General features: G+C 61.4%; 1 protein-coding gene across 4 annotated transcripts in view, besides 8 other annotated features; it reads left to right on the top strand.

Annotated features, from left to right (window-relative positions):
* Positions 4,253 to 5,162: an enhancer, noted in NCBI's record as "H3K27ac-H3K4me1 hESC enhancer chr22:50913717-50914626 (GRCh37/hg19 assembly coordinates)". NCBI's record gives its function as "activates a minimal SCP1, AML or CMV promoter by ChIP-STARR-seq in primed H9 embryonic stem cells {active_cell/tissue: H9 hESC(primed)}" and the evidence as "EXISTENCE:reporter gene assay evidence [ECO:0000049][PMID:30033119]".
* Positions 4,253 to 5,503: a biological region, named in NCBI's record as "H3K27ac-H3K4me1 hESC enhancer GRCh37_chr22:50913717-50914626".
* Positions 5,044 to 5,503: a silencer, noted in NCBI's record as "silent region_13980". NCBI's record gives its function as "represses an Ori minimal core promoter by ATAC-STARR-seq in GM12878 lymphoblastoid cells {active_cell/tissue: GM12878}" and the evidence as "EXISTENCE:reporter gene assay evidence [ECO:0000049][PMID:35858748]".
* Positions 5,259 to 5,463: a silencer, noted in NCBI's record as "fragment chr22:50913416-50913620 (GRCh37/hg19 assembly coordinates)". NCBI's record gives its function as "represses an EF-1alpha promoter that drives an FKBP-Casp9 reporter gene in an ReSE screen in K562 erythroleukemia cells {active_cell/tissue: K562}" and the evidence as "EXISTENCE:reporter gene assay evidence [ECO:0000049][PMID:32094911]".
* Positions 5,415 to 18,565, top strand: part of SBF1 (SET binding factor 1) — a 30,036-nt gene continuing 16,885 nt past the window's right edge. For 2 of the 4 annotated variants that reach the window (NM_001410795.1, NM_002972.4), the window contains exons 1-20: positions 5,415 to 5,664; positions 11,989 to 12,074; positions 12,527 to 12,664; positions 12,760 to 12,918; positions 13,002 to 13,112; positions 13,740 to 13,845; positions 13,968 to 14,100; positions 14,192 to 14,300; positions 14,376 to 14,489; positions 14,610 to 14,687; positions 15,122 to 15,235; positions 15,321 to 15,449; positions 15,533 to 15,631; positions 15,712 to 15,916; positions 16,009 to 16,121; positions 17,018 to 17,167; positions 17,512 to 17,580; positions 17,733 to 17,891; positions 17,977 to 18,245; positions 18,331 to 18,503. In NM_001410795.1, coding sequence (NP_001397724.1) covers positions 5,610 to 5,664; positions 11,989 to 12,074; positions 12,527 to 12,664; positions 12,760 to 12,918; positions 13,002 to 13,112; positions 13,740 to 13,845; positions 13,968 to 14,100; positions 14,192 to 14,300; positions 14,376 to 14,489; positions 14,610 to 14,687; positions 15,122 to 15,235; positions 15,321 to 15,449; positions 15,533 to 15,631; positions 15,712 to 15,916; positions 16,009 to 16,121; positions 17,018 to 17,167; positions 17,512 to 17,580; positions 17,733 to 17,891; positions 17,977 to 18,245; positions 18,331 to 18,503 — 2,569 coding nt within the window. In that variant the 5' untranslated portion in view covers positions 5,415 to 5,609. Of the gene's footprint in view, positions 5,665 to 11,988; positions 12,075 to 12,526; positions 12,665 to 12,756; positions 12,919 to 13,001; positions 13,113 to 13,739; positions 13,846 to 13,967; positions 14,101 to 14,191; positions 14,301 to 14,375; positions 14,490 to 14,609; positions 14,688 to 15,121; positions 15,236 to 15,320; positions 15,450 to 15,532; positions 15,632 to 15,711; positions 15,917 to 16,008; positions 16,122 to 17,017; positions 17,168 to 17,511; positions 17,581 to 17,732; positions 17,892 to 17,976; positions 18,246 to 18,330; positions 18,504 to 18,565 lie in introns of all 4 variants that reach the window. The other 2 variants (NM_001365819.1, NM_001410794.1) reach the window with 1 other exon arrangement.
* Positions 5,924 to 6,053: a silencer, noted in NCBI's record as "silent region_13979". NCBI's record gives its function as "represses an Ori minimal core promoter by ATAC-STARR-seq in GM12878 lymphoblastoid cells {active_cell/tissue: GM12878}" and the evidence as "EXISTENCE:reporter gene assay evidence [ECO:0000049][PMID:35858748]".
* Positions 6,073 to 6,982: an enhancer, noted in NCBI's record as "H3K4me1 hESC enhancer chr22:50911897-50912806 (GRCh37/hg19 assembly coordinates)". NCBI's record gives its function as "activates a minimal SCP1, AML or CMV promoter by ChIP-STARR-seq in primed H9 embryonic stem cells {active_cell/tissue: H9 hESC(primed)}" and the evidence as "EXISTENCE:reporter gene assay evidence [ECO:0000049][PMID:30033119]".
* Positions 6,983 to 7,894: an enhancer, noted in NCBI's record as "H3K4me1 hESC enhancer chr22:50910985-50911896 (GRCh37/hg19 assembly coordinates)". NCBI's record gives its function as "activates a minimal SCP1, AML or CMV promoter by ChIP-STARR-seq in naive H9 embryonic stem cells {active_cell/tissue: H9 hESC(naive)}" and the evidence as "EXISTENCE:reporter gene assay evidence [ECO:0000049][PMID:30033119]".
* Positions 9,653 to 9,712: an enhancer, noted in NCBI's record as "active region_19320". NCBI's record gives its function as "activates an Ori minimal core promoter by ATAC-STARR-seq in GM12878 lymphoblastoid cells {active_cell/tissue: GM12878}" and the evidence as "EXISTENCE:reporter gene assay evidence [ECO:0000049][PMID:35858748]".

Raw genomic sequence — 18,565 nt, 5'->3', positions numbered from 1 at the left:
CCTCTTCGATGGAGCGTGCAGCTTCGGAGGGACGCACAGGGAACAGTGGGGAAGGAGGGGGACACCTGCCTCTGAGCCAGCCACATCAGCCGAATCAACACTGGTGACCAGTGGGGTGACAGGCGTCACAGCCCGACCGTCCTCACATCAGAGACCCCACTCTTTCCTATGGTTGGATCTACTCCAACATATAGGTGTTGTATGATTCATCTCATCTGCTATTAATATGAAATTAGGTGACTGCCAGTCTTTTCATGAGTTGCTGCCTTGAGCTCACAGATGTGTCTATAGGACACCTTCCTGGAAGTAGAAATTCTGGTTGAAGGTGAGCATGTGTTTATGTTGATAGATGGTTCACTGTTCTCCACAGAGCTTTCGCCTACCCACTGTCCACGAGTCCTGGACTTGGTGTCACGGGTTCCAAGCTGCTGAGACTGGCCTCTCTGTTGGGTGAGCTGAGGATCTCTGCGTCCGTTCGTGCTTCCCCTTCTGTCTCCCCAACCCCTGCGCTCACCCCGTAACCCTCCTGCTGACACACCATGGGAGCACAGTCAACATTTGCTGGGTGAATAAGTCGAGGAGTGCCGAGCACACACCCCACAGGCCGATCTGGGAGGGCAGGGATGCCTTGCAGGTATTATTTACTTATTTTGACCAGTTGAGGGGGCAGGGAGTGTCACATTTATATGTTTTTTTTTTTTTTGAGATGGAGTCCCACTGTGTCACCCAGGCTGGAGTGCCGTGGCGAAATCTCAGCTCACTGCAAACTCCGCCTCCCAGGTTTAAGCGATTCTCCTGCCTCAGCCTCCTGAGTAGCTGGAATTATAAGTGCCCACCACCACGCCCAGATAATTTTTGTATTTGAGAGAGGGTTTCACCATGTTGGCCAGGATGGTCTCGAATTCCTGACCTTAGGTGATCCACCCACCTTGGCCTCCCAAAGTGCTGTGATTACAGGTGTGAGCCACTGCACCCAGTGTTTTGTTGTTGTTGTTGTTTGTTTGCTTTTTTGAGATGGAGTCTCACTCTGTCGCCCAGGCTGGAGTGCAGTGGCACAATCTTGGCTCACTGCGACCTCCGCCTCCCAGGTTCAAGTAATTCTCCTGCCTCAGCCTCCCAAGTAGCTGGGGTTACAGGCGCCTGCCACCACACCTGGCTAATTTTTGTATTTTTAGTAGAGACGGGGTTTCACCATGCTGGCCAGGCTGATCTTGAAGTCTGGACCTCAAGCAATCCGCCCACCTCTGCCTCCCAAACTGCTGGGATTACAGGTGTGAGCCACCAAGCCCGGCCAAGTGTCACATTTATGTTGAAAGGTGGAGGGGCAGCCAAGAAGGCAGGTGCTGGGGAGGCAGGCAGAAAGGGCTTGAGGGGACAGAGTGGATGGGTGGGAGAAATTTAGCGGGGCAGGACGGGAAATGAGGGGCTCAGTTCCCGGCGAAGCCCTTCTGTTTGCTGATGTGGCAGCTGCTGAGGGGGTGGGAAGAGGTCGGGGCCTGGACATGCTGAGGCCGAGCTGCCTGGGGGTTGTCCAGGGAGAGGGGTCTGGTCGCTCCCCAGCCTGGCAGGCATGGGACTAAAGATAAGGCAGGTCGAGAACAGTTTTGGGGTTTCAGGGATGGCGCAGCCATGGAGGATATGGTGAGCCTCATCCACAGAGAATGCGGAGAGGCTGGCCAAGGATGGAGCCCAGCGCCAGCTCTGGAGGGGCAGGTAGGGAAGGGCCTGAGCAGGGGATCCCCCAGGTTCCCAAATCTGCTGCTGCGGCTTCTGCTGCTGCCTCCCCACTCGGCCCTCAGCCTTCCACACTGCCACCAGCTCTGTCCTTTCAAAACACAAGTGCAATCAAATCGTTCGCCCCACCAATAAAGAAAAACCAGCAAAAATTCCCTGTCCTCAAGAGGCTTTTTTTTTTTTTTTTTTTTTTTTTTTGAGACGGAGTCTCGCTCTGTCACCCAGGCTGGAGTGCAGTGGTGTGATCTTGACTCACTGCAAGCTCCGCCTCCTGGGTTCACGCCATTCTCCTGCCTCAGCCTCCCAAGTAGCTGGGACTACAAGCGCCCTCCACCATGCCCGGCTAATTTTTCTGTATTTTTAGTAGAGTTTCACCGTGTTAGCCAGGATGGTCTCGATCTCCTGACCTCATGATCCGCCCGCCTTGGCTTCCCAGAGTGCTGGGATTACAGGCGTGAGCCACCGTGCCCAGCCCTCACAAGGTTTTTAATCTGGGACAGGTGGAGGACAGCCCCAGCGAGGGGCTGCGTTTCAGGCCCTGAGATGACAGGACAGTTGCTGCCCCTGTGAGCCACAGTCCTGCCTCCCGCCAGCTTGTGGGGAGGGTGTATCCTCTGCCCTCAGGCATCAGCCTGGCTGCTGCTTCTGCACCTGCCCAGCCCACCAGAGAGGAGGCCCCGTCTGTGATTCCCAGGGTCCCTGGTGCTTGTTGCATGTGAGTCCATTCTTAGTTGGAGAAGCTGCTTCTGGGGAGCGACGGGGCTGCCCCAGCACCGCTTATGATGGACACAGGTGAAGGGGAGACACAAGTTTCCAAATGTGCGAGGGCTGGGCCATAGGAGGGGGCGGTGGCCTTGGGGAATGCTTGTGAGAAGCAAAAGAAGCTAGGGTGGCAACTGGCTGGACAAACAGCATCTTGGGGTTTTTTCCTTTTTTTTTTTGAGATGGGGTTGCGCTCTATCTCCCAGGCTGGAGTGCAGTGGCGTGATCTCGGCTCACTGCAACCTCCGCCTCCCGGGTTCAAGCAACTCTCCTGCCTCAGCTTCCCGAGTAGCTGGGATTACAGGCACGCGTCACCATGCCTGGCTAATTTTTTGTATATTTAGTAGAGACGGGGTTTCACCATGTTGTGCAGGTTGGTCTCAAACTCCTGACGCCAAGTGATCCACCCGCCTGGGCCTCCCAGAGTGCTGGGATTTACAGGCATGAGCCACCACGCCCGGCCTTTGGGGGGTTTTGTTTGAGTGTTTTATGATGGCAGAGGTAAGTTTGACTCTGATAGCAAGGAATCCATAGACAGGGAAGGATGGAGTTTGGCGGCGGGCACTGACAGTGAATGATGGCCTGAGATGAGGAGTGGGCAGGGGGGCAGAGCCCTGTGGTAATGGAGGGAGGGGTGGTGTGAGAGGTGTAAGATGGGGGCTTGGTGCTCCCATCTGATAGCTTCTATTTGCTCTCTGAGGAGCAGCCAATTATCTCAGAGACACTGGAAGTGGGGTGAGAGGTTCGAGGAGAGTGCAGACTGCAAGACAGCTGACCAGAAATCAGCAGGCTGGGCGGTAGGGAGGGGCATCCATCCATCTGAGACACTGAGCCACTGTGGATGGTTGTTCCCAAGGGCCTGGTGGAAGCATGACAGTGGAGAGAGTGCGACGCAGGGTCCCCAGAGTCTCAGAGAGAGTGGAGAGTGCGGTGCAGGGTCCCTAGAGTCTCTCCGAAGAGAGCCAGCCCTGGGCTCAAGCACTAGCCCAGACTTGCCCCGGGCCCCTGCCAGCCTGCACACAAGCTCAGTGGTGTGGTAGTGTGGTGCTGAGGACCTTTTTGGGTACAAGTGACAGAAACCAACTTGAGCCAGCTGGGGCAAAAAGGAGGATTTCTGGCAGGGCACAGTTTCTCACACCTGTAATCCCAACACTTTTTGAGGCAGATGCAGGAGGATCATTTGAGGACAGGAGTTCAAGACAAGCCTAGGTAACTTATCAAGACCCTGTCTCTACAAAAAAATTAAATTTTAAAAAGATGATTTCTCAACCTGTGAAAACCAACAGTGGGAGAGGAGAGGCGTAGCGTGGCCTGTGCCTGAGGGCAGGGAGGGGACCCTGGTGGGGCCTCTCAGTTTGATTCCATTCATTCTCTTGGGCTGGCTCCTGCCCATGGATGGAGACTGGATGCCAGTCATTTGGCCAGTTCTTGCAGCAGCCAAACTCATTTAAAAACAGACCTTCAGGGCCAGGCGCGGTGGCTCACACCTGTAATGCCAGCACTTTGGGAGGCCGAGATGGGCGGATCACGAGGTCAGGAGATCGAGACCATCCTGGCTAACACAGTGAAACCCTGTCGCTACTAAAAATACAAAAAATTAGCTGGGCGTGGTGGCAGGTGCTTGTAGTCCCAGCTACTCGGGAGGCTGAGGCAGGAGAATGATGTGAACCTGGGAGGCGGAGTTTGCAGTGAGCCAAGATCACGCCACTGTACTCCAGCCTGGGCGACAGAGCGAGACTCTGTCTCAAAACAAACAAACAAAAACAAACAAAAAACAAAAAACAGACCTTCGGGCTGGGGGCGGTGGCTCATGCCTGTAATCCCAGCACTTTGGGACGCCATGGTGGGTGGATGGCCTGAGGTCAGGAGTTCAAGACCAGCCTGGCCAACATGGTGAAACCCCCTCTCTACTAAAATACAAAAATTAGCCGGGCATGGTGGTGCACACCTGTAATCCCAGCTACGCGGGAAGCTGAGGCGGGAGAATTGCTTGAACCCAGGAGACGGACGTTCCAGTGAGCCAAGATGGTGTCACTGCACTTCAGCCTGGGTGACGGATTGAGACTCTGCCTCAAAAACAAAACAAAACATAACAAAAAACAGACCTTGGCCTGCTGTGCTCAGAGGGGTTTCCCTGCTGCACCAGGCTGGCTCCTGCACCTTCTCTCCCAGCATGTTCTGCTCTGGGCTCATGCTCATCCCTGAGCCACTTCAGGGGTGGCCCTGGCCAGCCCTGCCCTTGAGAGGGGTGGGCACTGTCAGGGATCCTGGGGGATGCAGCTTTCCCAGAGCCCCCTGCTCCGTGGCCTCATGTGCCTCACACGCTTAGAACATTTGCTCTTTACAGGGGGACATGAGCGTGCCGTTTTTAAGCTGTGTTAAATGTCTCACTTGGCCTAGATGGGGGCTCTTCAGCCTGGGACCCCAAGGGCAGGGCCTGAATTCTCTCTCTGTTCCCCATCGCCAGGCTGGCAGCCCCTGAGGTGATGGCCCTGCGCCTCCTCTGACTTCTAGTTTGGGGGGCCCGGTAGGCAGCGCCTAGGCTTCTCCCGCCTTTCTCCCGCTGGACAGAGAGGGGCGGGGGACGAGGAGTCTGGGGACCCGATCCCCAGATTGGGACGGCCCAGGGGTGGGGTTCGGGCTCCTGTGCGGGGAGTCCCAACGGCGAGGGCAGCTGTGGTCCTGGCCCATGCCTCCCGCCGACACCACAGCCGACCCGGGTCAGGGCGTCAGACCCGCCGGAGCCGTAGTCCAGGTGCCCGGCCCGAGGGGCGGTGCTCGGGCCCCAGAGTGGTCAGCGATGGGCGGGGCGCTGCTCTCGGGAGCCGCCCTCCCACCCTCTGGACCAATGGAGATGCGCGGTTGCAGGCCCCGCCCGCTCAGGGCTTGACGACAGCGCGCAGGCGCACGGCGCGCCCGGGCGGGCCGGCTGGCTGGGAAGATGGCGGCGGGAACCTGGGCCGCCGCCGCCGCCGCCGCCGCCGCCGCGGAGCGAACCAGGGGTGTCCGGGGTGCGCGGTCCAGGGCCGGGGCCGGGCCATGAGCGCGCCGTCCTCGAGTCCCCGAGCCGCGGAGCCCGCCCGCGCCCCTCGGGCCGCCCCGCGTCCCTCGCCATGGCGCGGCTCGCGGACTACTTCGTGCTGGTGGCGTTCGGGCCGCACCCGCGCGGTGAGTGCCGAGGCCAAGCGCTGAGGGCCGGGGGCCGAGGGTCGAGTGCTGAGGGCCAGGGGCTGGGTCTGAGGGTCGAGGGCCGGGGGCTGGGGGCCGAGGGCTGGGGGCTGGGTCGGGAGGCCGAGGACTGAGGGCCGGGCGCTGAGGGCCGAGGACCGGGGGCTGGGCGCTGAGGGCCGGGGTCGGGGGAGCCGAGGACTGAGGGCCGGGGCCGGGGGCCGGGCGGGGACTGAAGGCCAGGGCCGACCGGACAGCCCGTGGGGAGAATGGGCGTCCGCTGGGGGCGGCGTGGCCGCGCGGGCCTGGTGGCGGCAGGGAGAGAAGGCTGGGCCCGGCCTGCCCGGCCTCCTTGGGGTGGGACGGGCTCTCTCCTTGGCCAGCTGCGGGCGGCTGTGGCTCTAGTGGCTCCAGGGGCGCGGACCCGCGGCTCGCCAGCCCGCCTCTGACCTTGGTGCTCCGTCTGAAGCCCCCGGCGGTCTTGGCGGGGTGCAAAGAGGGGGTGGAGTTCGGGTTTGGTGCATGGAGAAGCGGTGTTTGATTTGAAACTGGGAGGATTTGAGGAGGAAGCGTCGAGAGTAGAGAGAAGAGCATTCCTGGCGACTCGCCTGACGGTCCAGGCCCTGCACGCCAAGCCCTGGGTGGGGTATCAGCGTGGCGGTCGGTGCCCATGCCCAGGAGGTCTGTGTGTGGGGTCAGCGCCCGTGTCTGAGAGCTCTTCAGCCCAGGAGGTAGGAGAAAACGGAGCCTGACGATGACATCAGCAACAGCCTGGAGACAGCAGCGTTGGCGAGCGTGCTTGGTGTGCCAGGCCCCGCACAGCCCTTTGTGTACATGATCTCACCTCTTCCTCCCAGCAGCCCACCGGGGTTGCCCTGGTGTTGCCCCCATCTGTAGAGAAGTTAGGCGCGGATAAGCTGACTGCCTGGCCTGAGCCGGCTCAGAGAGGCTGGGACTGGCACTCAGGCTGTCAGATCCCAGCTGCAGACTGGCAGTGTGTGGGGATGGCTGTGTGGTCAGGCAGGGGCTGGATCTTGAGCCTGGAGGTGGGATTGAGCTTGCCTTCCCAGTTACCCTGTTTTTTGTCAGTCCAGTTGTCACTGTCCCCACCAAGGACCTGGAGTTCTCTCTTTTTTGTGTTTCTTCTGCTGGACACCCCCCTACACTTCCTGAAGCCTCTTTAGCATCTTCTTCGTCTCCAGCCCCTCCTCAGTGCCCTCTTACTCAGCACACACTCCTCTCTGCTCATGTCTATCCAAGTGTGTGTCTTATGGCACCGTCAGTCATGAGCATCTGTCTTTTTCTTTAGAGAGGGAGTTCTCGCTTGCTAGGACCACATAGTCCTCATCCCCACTGTGCAGGTTGGCTGTCAATGTTGTCTTGACCCACAGAGGGAGCTGTCTGCACCGAGGCACCTATGAGGGGCATGGAGGAGGCCTTACCACCTGGGGCAGAGGGTGCCTGAGGATCCAGGGAAGCAAGGCTGGCTGAGGGCTGTCTTGGCGTGAGGGGCCTTGGGCTGAGGGCTGGGGCGGGGGCTACAGGAACAGCTGATAATGACCCTGATGATCCTGAGGGCAGTGTGGAGAGGGTTTGGGTTGGTAGAGACTGCAGGCAAAGGCCAGGTGGGAGGCGTGGTGGCCGTGGGGTGAGGAGTTGAAGGTAGGCAGAGAGAAGAGGCAGAGTGGGCTCCACAACAAGCTGGCTGTGACGTGTGTGCTCACTGCTGGAGCCACACGTAGTGCAGGCACCTGTTTGTGTGTGTCCTTTGCGCAGGACAGGGTAGAAGGCTGGAGCCCAAGGTGCCCCCCCTTCCCCTAAGTGACCGGAAGGAGTGATAAGTGGTCCACTGCAGTAGGGTTGGAGGACCGTGGAGCCCTGTACCCACTACCTTCTGGGGTTGAGCTGGTCAGCTGCTTGCTGGCCTTGCAGCCCCAGGCACCCCTTAGAAGGACTTGTTCATTCTTGAGGGGAACAAGGCTATAGACTGGGACCCTGGTCATGGGCTGAGGGCAGAGCCAGGTACCAGGGCCGGTGGGAGCTGGGGGAAGAAGCAGAGGAGTGTGGCGTGGGGGTCACTTGTCTCTGCTTTGCCCCTTGATAGCCTTGTGACTTCGAGCCAGTTGTTTGGCTCTCTGTGCCTCAGTTTCCTCATCTGGGGATGGAGTGAGTCATGCTAACCTCCCAGGCTGCCGTGAGGATGCAGCGAATGCACAGGTGTGAAGCAGTAGCACACAGGAGGCCCTGGAAATGATGAGTTTCTTTCATTAGTGACTGAGCAGCAGGTGTGTGAACTCTCTAGGCACAGACACAACAGGCACTTCTGAGTGGGTAGAGGATCCTCTCTGTTCTGTCAGGCTAGGACTTCAGGGCGGGATGCAGGGTCTCTTGGGTTGGGGATTAGGATTGGCGGATAGCTTGTCTTGGCCTGGATCTGGACATCCTGTCTGGAGCTGCTGGGTGCAGCACCAGGGTGCTGAGGGTGCATGAGTCCTGCCTGAGGCAGCATCCCAGTTGCTAGTGGTTACCAGCTGGAAACCTCTCAGGAAAGGTGGGGAGGGGCCCTGAGAAGGTAAATGCCTGTGCTGGCCGTGACCCTTTCACCTCAGAGAGTGATGGTGGCCAGCGCTGGCCCATCTGCAGGCCCCTCACCTGGTGAGTCAGGGATCACCTTCTGTGCTCTGGGGCAGGCATCAGGACTAGACAGACTGCCTCTGCCCGGCTCTTGGCCTGATCACAGCGTGGCCAGTGCTGAGGTGTCTTTGAGAACAGGAGACACATTTGATCTGGCCCTGACCTGGCCATCGGCCTTCCATCTCCAGCAGCTGAGTGTGCATCTGCCTGGGAGGAGGGGCTGGACCCCTTGGATCTGAGAAAAAGACCTTTCACCCTATGGCCTCGCCTCTCCTCCTGACTGTGATGTGCTGGCTGCATTCTTGAGCCCCATCTACTGTCCCCACCCACGTTCCTGCCCTCCCTCTGGAGCGGGTTGGGGCTGTTTGGGATGGCCTCAACTGCCTCCCAGCCTCCACCCTGGGAGCCGGAAGGGGTCCAAGGCCTTGGGTCAGAACTGCTCAGGTCTGATGGGCAGGGGAGGTTGGGGGGGATGGCTGTGGAAGCTGCAGGGGCCCTGCGCATGGCCTGCTGCTGCGGCCGAGGGAGCCATGTGCACGTTGGGGTTGGGTGGGTGGCGTAGCAGGAAGGTGCTGTCCTTCCTTCTTTTCTCTTTTCCTATAGCTGGGTTCCCCACAAGCAGCAGAGCCGGCCAGGGCTGGTCTTCGTGCACTGTGGGGAGTGTGGTGGGGAAACAGGAGAGGCTGCCATCCTTCTTTGCCTCCCCACAGCACACGCTGGCCTGGGCCAGCCCTCCAGGCGTCAGAGCCTGGCACTGATGATGGGGTGCTGCCAGCAGATGACAGAACGCGAGGTCTGTGTTCGCCTGCCCGCCCGCCCGCCTTTCAGGCCTGCCGTCTGCGTGGGGCTGGCCGCAGGGACATTGGTGCAGGAGGGAGTGCTCTTTGAGGGGCTTTCAGGACAGAAGCCCCAGTGTTGTCCTTAGGTGGCCCCCTCAGCCCCATGTTCAGAGGTGGAGGTGGCAAGGAAACCTTGGTGCCCAGTGCCACCCAGCACACCGTTTGGATTCGTCCTGTTGCCAAGGGGAGGAGTGGGGAGGGCACCCTCCCTCCTGTGTATTCTGAGGTAAAGGCAGCACTCTGATGGGCAAGGAGCTCAGCTGCTGGAGGTCACTCCTATGGCAATAGAGCTTCAGTGGGTGGGGGACCCTGGGAAGATGTGGCAAAACCCCCCACATCCCCCTGGAGGCCAAGATGTGGCCTGGCCCCGGACAGCACAGAGCTGAGGTGCAGGCTGGGACCTCAGAAGGGTGAGGAGGAGAGCTGCTCACAGCTGAGGGCTGCAGGGCCCTCCATGGCCTGCCTTTCCAGGGGCCAGCTGTGTTCTGTCATTCCCTGGGGCTCCGGAAGGTGCCCTGTACTTCCGACTGAGGAACCTGTTTGCTTGTTGGGTGTGGGGAGGATGGTTGTGTAGCCGACTGTACGTGTTCTACAAGCCCTAATTAGCCTGTGGTCCGTCCCAGCCAAGCCAACAGGTGCACTAGCAGTCACTGGGGTGTGGTGGAGGGAGGTCGGTCCTAGGGTCCCTGTAGGCCCCAGGCTGGGGCAGAGTTTCCCAGGGGAGGGGGTGCTCTGTGGGCTGAGACCTGAAGGGCCAGTCTGGGGCTGTCATGGCACAGAGGAGCTCAGGGAGAGGTGCCTGCTTGGCCTGGCCCACTTGGGCCATTGGGCCAGCCCAAGGAGAGTGGAGCTCAGGGCTGGCTCTTTGGAGGGTAGAGCCCTGCAGAGGACTTAAGGCTGAGTGAGAGTTGATGCTTCACAAGACTAGCGGGGGGTGGAGAGGGTCAAGGTAGATGGTGACCTGCCACTCTGCCCATCCTCCTGGGGAAGGCTGCCTTCCCTTCCTGGCCTTGGGGAGGCTGCAGTGCAGAGACTGCTGTCCCTGTTCATAAACCCCTCTTCCTTCCTCCACCTGCTGCCTCGTGGCAAGAACTGGGTGAGCCCTGGGTGCCAGCCAGGGCTGGGCCCAGATGGTGGTTTGGGGCCAAACACAAGGAGGCCTTTGGGGGAGTGGGCGGGGTGGGGGAGGAGCCGCAGCTCAGGGCCTGCGCCTGAGTGAGCTGTCCTTGGGGGTGTGGAGGTAGGTGTGGCACCCGCAGACACCTGGGCCCCCACCCGTCTGCCGCCTGTCCTCTGCAGGGTGTCGGTGGGAGGGGGAGGGGAGCAGGAAGCTGAGGTTTTGTGAGTCAGAATCGGCCCCTCACCGCCCCACCATCTCCCACTTAGCAGCAGCCTGCCCACTGCCGACTTCCTTGGCTCTGCCCCTGTAACCCTGGAGGGCAGATGGTCTCCCCGCCTGTAGGGGACCCGTGGAGTGTGTGCCATTGGGCTGCCAGAGTTGCTCATCTGTTCCCAGGAGGACCAGGCATGCTGGATGTGGGGCTGCAGCTTCTTGGGGGCCGGGGTGGGGGGTCCATGAGGGGCTCTGTGTTGAGCATGACCCCCGCCTTGCCCATCTGGCTCTGCTGCTTCCGCCAGGTGGGTGGCGGTGTAGAGGCCCGTCCAGACAGAGGATGGGCCCTGGGGACCTGCGGTTTGTGTGGAGGAGAAGGCAGGCAGGCTTTCGTCTTTCCTGCTGCACCTGCTCCATCCTCCACAAGCCCTGGGAGGCCTGCGGAGCCGTCCTGCTGCGGGAGCCACACCCTGAGTGTCCCACTGTGGTCCCCACCGGGCTTCCTGGTTTGGCTCTCCAGGGGTGAGCCACAGGCAGGGACCTTTACCCCACCGGTGTGGACTGGGCCTGGAAACAGGGCCCTGGATGTGGTAGTTCTGGGGCCCCACGGAGAGGAGGGGTCTGGTGGGGAGACATAGGCCTCTTGGCTCTCCCTGCCCTGAAAGCCCTCCTCCTGGCCCAGGGGAGCTTAGGCTGTGCTCAGCACCCATCCTATGGCCTTTGTACAGGGAGATTTGGAGACAGGGAGCAGGCCTGGGTGTGACCACCGTCCCACTCTCCTCTGAGAGCTGCTGGGGTCCAGGTGCTCAGGAAGCCATCTGGGCATCCTTCGGTGGTCGTCCTGGACCAAGTCTCCATCCTTCCCGTCTAGCTGCTGCCCCTCTAGGTCCTGCTGGCTGTGGGGCTGGTGTTCTAACAGGGAGCTGCCAAACCCCATCTTCTGGGACCTGTACTGGGGACTTGTCTGTCTCTGAAGCAGCTGGGATAGGGAAGAGTTTGGGGCTGTGGGCGCAGGGGGTGTCCTCTAGCCTTGTGGGGCTGAGGCTTCTTGAACCCCACACAGACAGCAGGTTTGAGTCCTCCACACCCCCGGCTGGGTCCAGGGCTGGTGGGTGACAGGGAGCTCTGGGGGATGCCCACTGTTGGGGGGCCGAGAGCCTAAGTGGGGGCCTGGCGGTGGTGGCAGATGCTGTGGGGGCCTGTGGAACAGTCCCGAAGTGTTGACCTTCGATGGAGGGCTGCTGTGCTGTGTGAAGCTGGGCTGGTCAGGCTGAAGGAGGTCTCTGGGGTGGGATCGGAGAATGGGGTGTAGCGGCAGGGGCTTCTCTACCCTCAGGTGGCCCTGGGGTCTGCAGCTGTCAAGCAGACTCTCCATACGGAGCTATTTTTAGGGAGCTGTGGCTGATCTGGTGCCAGATGAGGGCCCAGTGGGTGGGAATGTTTCCACCCTGGGATCCTCAAGCCTCCTGGTGGGTGGGGGGCGGGTTGGGTGCTCTGACCCCCTGTTCTTGTCCTCAGGGAGTGGGGAAGGCCAGGGCCAGATTCTGCAGCGCTTCCCAGAGAAGGACTGGGAGGACAACCCATTCCCCCAGGGCATCGAGCTGGTGAGTTGGGGGCGTGCTGAGACGGTGCTGGCAGGTGGGGAGGGCAGGTGGGCACAGCCCTGCCCTTGTCCCTGACTGAGGGGCCTCCACAGTGCCCGGCCCCCCGCTGGGCTAGGGACAAGACAGCAGAGCCTCTGTCGGGGGGTTTGACCGGCTTGGCCGGCGGCCTGTGCGGTGCTCATGTCACTGTGTCATGTTGTCACTCACTCATGATGGTGGGGACTGTTCTCCCATCTCCTGGTCCTTGCCCCAGGTGGGGAGGTCAGAGGCTGTTACTCCCTTCACCCGGAGAGACTGAGGCCCAGGAGGCCACGTGTCCCCAGGGTCTCCAAGCAAGGAGCTGCCTGTGTGTGTTGGAGCCTCCAGGCCTGGTGGTGCAGATGCTGGGGCGGGTGGGCTGGTTCCTGCCACAGGTGTAGGGGGAGGAGCTGACTGCTGAGCCTTCCCTGCAGTTTTGCCAGCCCAGCGGGTGGCAGCTGTGTCCCGAGAGGAATCCACCGACCTTCTTTGTTGCTGTCCTCACCGACATCAACTCCGAGCGCCACTACTGCGCCTGCTTGACCTTCTGGGAGCCAGCGGAGCCTTCACAGGTCAGCTTGGGGCCTCTGGGTACAGCATGAATGAAGCTGCATCCTTGGGCCGTGGCCAACTCCCCCTGCCCCCGTCTCCCCCTGACCCCCAGCAGGAAACGACGCGCGTGGAGGATGCCACAGAGAGGGAGGAAGAGGGGGATGAGGGAGGCCAGACCCACCTGTCTCCCACAGCACCTGCCCCATCTGCCCAGCTGTTTGCACCGAAGACGCTGGTACTGGTGTCGCGACTCGACCACACGGAGGTGTTCAGGGTGAGGCCGGCAGCCGGGGCGGCGAGGCACGACGAGGGTGCTTCCATCGGCTGTCCCACCACTCCCCGCTCTGGTCATTGCAGAACAGCCTTGGCCTCATCTATGCCATCCACGTGGAGGGCCTGAATGTGTGCCTGGAGAACGTGATTGGGAACCTGCTGACGTGCACTGTGCCCCTGGCTGGGGGCTCGCAGGTGAGTTTTGGAGGCAGCTGGTATCTGCACAGCCACAGGCCCTCCTGCTGGGGCCCTGGTAGGTATTTGGAGCCCAGCCAGAGCCACACACAGCTGGAGGCCTTGGATGCTCCCTCTTGCGTCCTCGTGCCACCATTGCCCCCAACAGTCCTGGCCTGCTTACCTGGCCCTCGCACCTGTGCTCTGGGCCTGTGTCGTTCAGCCTCTCTGTCCACTCCTTTGATGGTGTGTGCCTGTCTCTGGATGTTGATGTCAGCTTGTTTGTCTGCTCCCTGCCCTGTGCCTGGGTGTGTTGGAGTGTCTAACCGTGTCTTTCTGCCCGTCTGTCCTGTGCAGCTGGACTCTGTTGAGGAAGGAGCGGTATGGATTCTTTGTTTCTTCCGCCCACCTAGGCCCCATCCCTACCCCCAAGTCAAAAGCAGCCACTCCTGTCCTGAGTTTTCTCTGCAGCTGCTTGGGACAACAGAGGCAGGGCATGGCGTTTCCCTCTTGCCATGTTGCCCATCCCAGCCAGTCCCACCTCGGGTCTGTCAGTACACCAGGGTCTGCCTGGGGACACAGAGCTCTGGGCTGACTCTGGGCTGGCTCTGGCCAAACTACTGAGCCCCGATCCTTTTTTTGCTGCAGAGGACGATCTCTTTGGGGGCTGGTGACCGGCAGGTCATCCAGACTCCACTGGCCGACTCGCTGCCCGTCAGCCGCTGCAGCGTGGCCCTGCTCTTCCGCCAGCTAGGTGAGCCTGTCTGTCCCACCCCCGCATGGCTTCCCCTCGGGGACTGGTAGTTAGGGATGTGGGTTCTCACTCTGCCTGGGTGGGGGCCCAGGGTCCTCTCCAAGCTTCTCTTCTTCCTTTAGGCATCACCAACGTGCTGTCTTTGTTCTGTGCCGCCCTCACGGAGCACAAGGTTCTCTTCCTGTCCCGGAGCTACCAGCGGCTCGCCGATGCCTGTAGGGGCCTCCTGGCACTGCTGTTTCCTCTCAGATACAGGTGACCCCTGCCCGGCCCTCCCAGCCCCTTCTCCTGGCCCCTTTGCCCAGCCGCGTCCCCTGGCTCACTGCATCCTCTGGGGCCTGCACAGCTTCACCTATGTGCCCATCCTGCCGGCTCAGCTGCTGGAGGTCCTCAGCACACCCACGCCCTTCATCATTGGGGTCAACGCGGCCTTCCAGGCAGAGACCCAGGAGCTGGTAAGGGCTGTGCTTTGTGTCCACCTCACGGCCCAGGCCTGCAGGTCCCTGACTGCCGGCTCCCTTGGTCCGCAGCTCGATGTGATTGTTGCTGATCTGGATGGAGGGACGGTCACCATTCCTGAGTGTGTGCACATTCCACCCTTGCCAGAGCCACTGCAGAGTCAGACGCACAGTGTGCTGAGCATGGTGAGGGGCACCATGGGCAAGCGGGAGCCTTGGGGGCCTTTGGGATGTGGCTACCTGGCAGCACGGGGAGCCTAGAGCCGGGGCCAGCGTGCAGCTGCCTGCTCCATTCTGTGCTGGCAGGTCCTGGACCCGGAGCTGGAGTTGGCTGACCTCGCCTTCCCTCCGCCCACGACATCCACCTCCTCCCTGAAGATGCAGGTGGGGGTCGTTGCTGCTCCTGCATGGGGACCCCAGGCACTTAGGCTGCCCCCACTCAGGTCTGCTGCCACTGACACACAGGGCCCCACCCCCAGGCTGGCCCCGGCTCCAGTAGCAGAAGCAGGAGCCTGGGAGCAAAGCAGCTGCCAGCAGTTAGGAGTGGTGGTCGTGAGTGGTGCAGGCGAGGCGGCAGGGGCCCAGCAAGGGGCTGGAACTTGGCGTCTGATCACAGGAGCCCTTGAGGGTGCTGAGCCAGGAGTGCCTTGTCCAGACAGTTTCAGAGGAGCTGGTGGCCCTGAGTGCAGAATGGTGGGAGGGGCAGAAGGATGGGAGCGGGGCAGCTTGGGGTGGGTTGGGGTGTGGAGAAGCTCCTGGGCAGCCTGGGGTGGGGATTGGCAGGACTGGCTCTCACCTGCACTCAGCTCTTCTCCCAGGACAAGGAGCTGCGCGCGGTCTTCCTGCGGCTGTTCGCTCAGCTGCTGCAGGGCTATCGCTGGTGCCTGCACGTCGTGCGCATCCACCCGGAGCCTGTCATCCGCTTCCATAAGGTGGGGTGCCTGGTGGCTGGGCGTGGGGTAGGAGATAAGCGCATGGTGGAGACCCCTGAGGGACCGACCTCCTTCTGTCATCCAGGCAGCCTTCCTGGGCCAGCGTGGGCTGGTAGAGGACGATTTCCTGATGAAGGTGCTGGAGGGCATGGCCTTTGCTGGCTTTGTGTCAGAGCGTGGGGTCCCATACCGCCCTACGGACCTGTTCGATGAGGTGCACCTCCACCCTGCCCTCCCAGCCCCCTGCCCTGGCTCCGCCTGACCATGGCTTACCTAACCTCCTGCTTACCCCGCTAGCTGGTGGCCCACGAGGTGGCAAGGATGCGGGCGGATGAGAACCACCCCCAGCGTGTCCTGCGTCACGTCCAGGAACTGGCAGAGCAGCTCTACAAGAACGTACGAGGGTAGCAGGACGGGAGGGCGTCGTACCGCCTTGATCCCTGGGCCCCTGCCCCACACCTGCCGTCTCCCCACAGGAGAACCCGTACCCAGCCGTGGCGATGCACAAGGTACAGAGGCCCGGTGAGAGCAGCCACCTGCGACGGGTGCCCCGACCCTTCCCCCGGCTGGATGAGGGCACCGTGCAGTGGATCGTGGACCAGGCTGCAGCCAAGATGCAGGGTGCACCCCCAGCTGTGAAGGCCGAGAGGAGGACCACCGTGCCCTCAGGGCCCCCCATGAGTGCGTAATGAGGGAGGGGAAGGCAGGCCCCGAGCGTGGCCCAGGATGGGCGTGGGGTCAGGGGTCCGAGTGTGTGTATTCTGTCCCCGCAGCTGCCATACTGGAGCGGTGCAGTGGGCTGCATGTCAACAGCGCCCGGCGGCTGGAGGTTGTGCGCAACTGCATCTCCTACGTGTTTGAGGGGAAAATGCTTGAGGCCAAGAAGGTGAGGGCTGTGCAGGCTCCAGCCGGGCCAGGGCAGCGGGTTTCAGAGGAGACCCAGGCTGCACTTCACCCTTGTGAGTGCTGACGCTGCCCCAGGGCCTCCTCTGCCTAACAGACAGCTAGAGGTGGCTGGGCTGGCCGGAGGGTAGGTGGGCTCCAGGTCTCCTCTCTTGACCTCAGTGAGGGGTGGGTCGGGCCTGCGCGGGAGACCCAGCCAGGGAGATGTACTTCCATTTTTAGAAATCAGAAGGTTTCACTATTATGTTTCGTCTGTGTCCTTCCCCTTAAATTGGGTAGGCCCATACACGACCTGTTCTTTGTACTTGATGGAAAACAGAGCTTGCTCCCTCCATACGTGACCTGTTCCTTGCATCTTATGGAAACAGAGCTTTTTGCTCCTGCTGTTTTGCTCTCTGTGGTGCTCACTTAACGCCTCTGGGGTCTTTCATCATGGCCAGTTGGAGACTCTTGTTTTTCATTGGCTGTATGGTGTCCCTTTGGGGCGGCCAGTTTTGTGATGAACGTTGTAGCAATAGAACGCAAACTCCAAGGCTTTCTGTGGCCGGGCCTGTGCCAGGCGAGTCACTGAGCCAGCCAGGCAGCTGTGAGCCTGTGAGCAAGGGGGCCCGGCCCGCAAGGCCTCCCTCCGGAGCGCACCTCCCTGCCAGCTCACAGGTGCAGCATCTGCGTCCTTGTGTCTGGCCTGGTGAACTTGTACTTGTGGAGTTGTCGGGCCCACTGGAGGTTTTAGTCTTTATTGGTCGGCAAAGCCCCAGAGTCTGGCACACCCCACCTGAAAGGCATTTGGGTCTCCTGGACACCTGCTGCCCTCCCTGCCAGGGCCCCGAGTGGGTCTTCTCTGTGCCCTCAGCCCGTGTCTCCTTTCCCCACCCCCAGCTGCTCCCAGCCGTGTTGAGGGCCCTGAAGGGGCGAGCTGCCCGCCGCTGCCTCGCCCAGGAGCTGCACCTGCATGTGCAGCAGAACCGTGCGGTCCTGGACCACCAGCAGTTTGACTTTGTCGTCCGTATGATGAACTGCTGCCTGCAGGTGAGGCCTCTTATCCTGCTAGTGACATGGCTCATGGCGCATGAGCGGGAACAGGCGGGCAGACCCTGGTCTGTGAGTGAGAGTGGAGAGACGGTGCAAGAGACTCCTGTGCCAGTGGGCAGGGGTCCTCGGTCTGCAGGGAACAGGGTGGAGAGAACCATTGTTGGGGGCAGGTGCTGGGGCCTGGGGTCTCCTGATATTGAGCCTCTGAGGCAGCCTTGGGGAGCTGGAGCCAAGGGTGTCAGGTGCTGGTCTGTGGTGGTTATGGGGTGGTGGGGGCATGGTGGGAGGTGAGTGCTGCCTGGGAGGGGAGAGGTCCTGACGGTCTCTCGCTCTACCTGCAGGACTGCACTTCTCTGGACGAGCATGGCATTGCGGCGGCTCTGCTGCCTCTGGTCACAGCCTTCTGCCGGGTGAGTGCTGGCATGGCTGAGGTCTCCTTCCCAGCCCCCCCTTCCTGGTGGCTGAGGTCTCCTTCCCAGCCCCCCTTCCTGGTGGCCGAGGTCTCCTTCCCAGCCGCCCTTCCTGGCTGCATCCAGCTGACCTTCTCCCCTGGCTCCTGCAGAAGCTGAGCCCGGGGGTGACGCAGTTTGCATACAGCTGTGTGCAGGAGCACGTGGTGTGGAGCACGCCACAGTTCTGGGAGGCCATGTTCTATGGGGATGTGCAGACTCACATCCGGGCCCTCTACCTGGAGCCCACGGAGGACCTGGCCCCCGCCCAGGTGCGCAGGGACTCCCTGGGCTGGGGGCTGGGGGCTAGGGGCTGGGGCAGCGTGGCCCCGGCTCATGCGTGTGGTGCCGTGGCAGGAGGTTGGGGAGGCACCTTCCCAGGAGGACGAGCGCTCTGCCCTAGACGTGGCTTCTGAGCAGCGGCGCTTGTGGCCAACTCTGAGTCGTGAGAAGCAGCAGGAGCTGGTGCAGAAGGAGGAGAGCACGGTGTTCAGCCAGGCCATCCACTATGCCAACCGCATGAGCTACCTCCTCCTGCCCCTGGACAGCAGCAAGAGCCGCCTACTTCGGGAGCGTGCCGGGCTGGGCGACCTGGAGAGCGCCAGCAACAGCCTGGTCACCAACAGGTGAGGCAGGGACTGGGGGTTGGGCCCAGTGGAGGCGGGGCCGTGGTGGGCAGGGCCCATGCCCACAGTTTCTTCTCTGGCCCAGCATGGCTGGCAGTGTGGCCGAGAGCTATGACACGGAGAGCGGCTTCGAGGATGCAGAGACCTGCGACGTAGCTGGGGCTGTGGTCCGCTTCATCAACCGCTTTGTGGACAAGGTCTGCACGGAGAGTGGGGTCACCAGCGACCACCTCAAGGGGCTGCATGTCATGGTGCCAGGTACGGGGGTTTGGGCTGGTGATTCCCCCTTGGATGGGTGGGGCTGGGCACAAAGTGTGAGA

This window comes from Homo sapiens, chromosome 22, assembly GCF_000001405.40.
Source record: "Homo sapiens chromosome 22, GRCh38.p14 Primary Assembly".
In the NCBI taxonomy this organism is placed as follows: Eukaryota; Metazoa; Chordata; class Mammalia; order Primates; family Hominidae; genus Homo; species Homo sapiens.
Note: the sequence above shows the minus strand (reverse complement) of the source record. Positions and strands in the feature narration are given on the sequence as shown.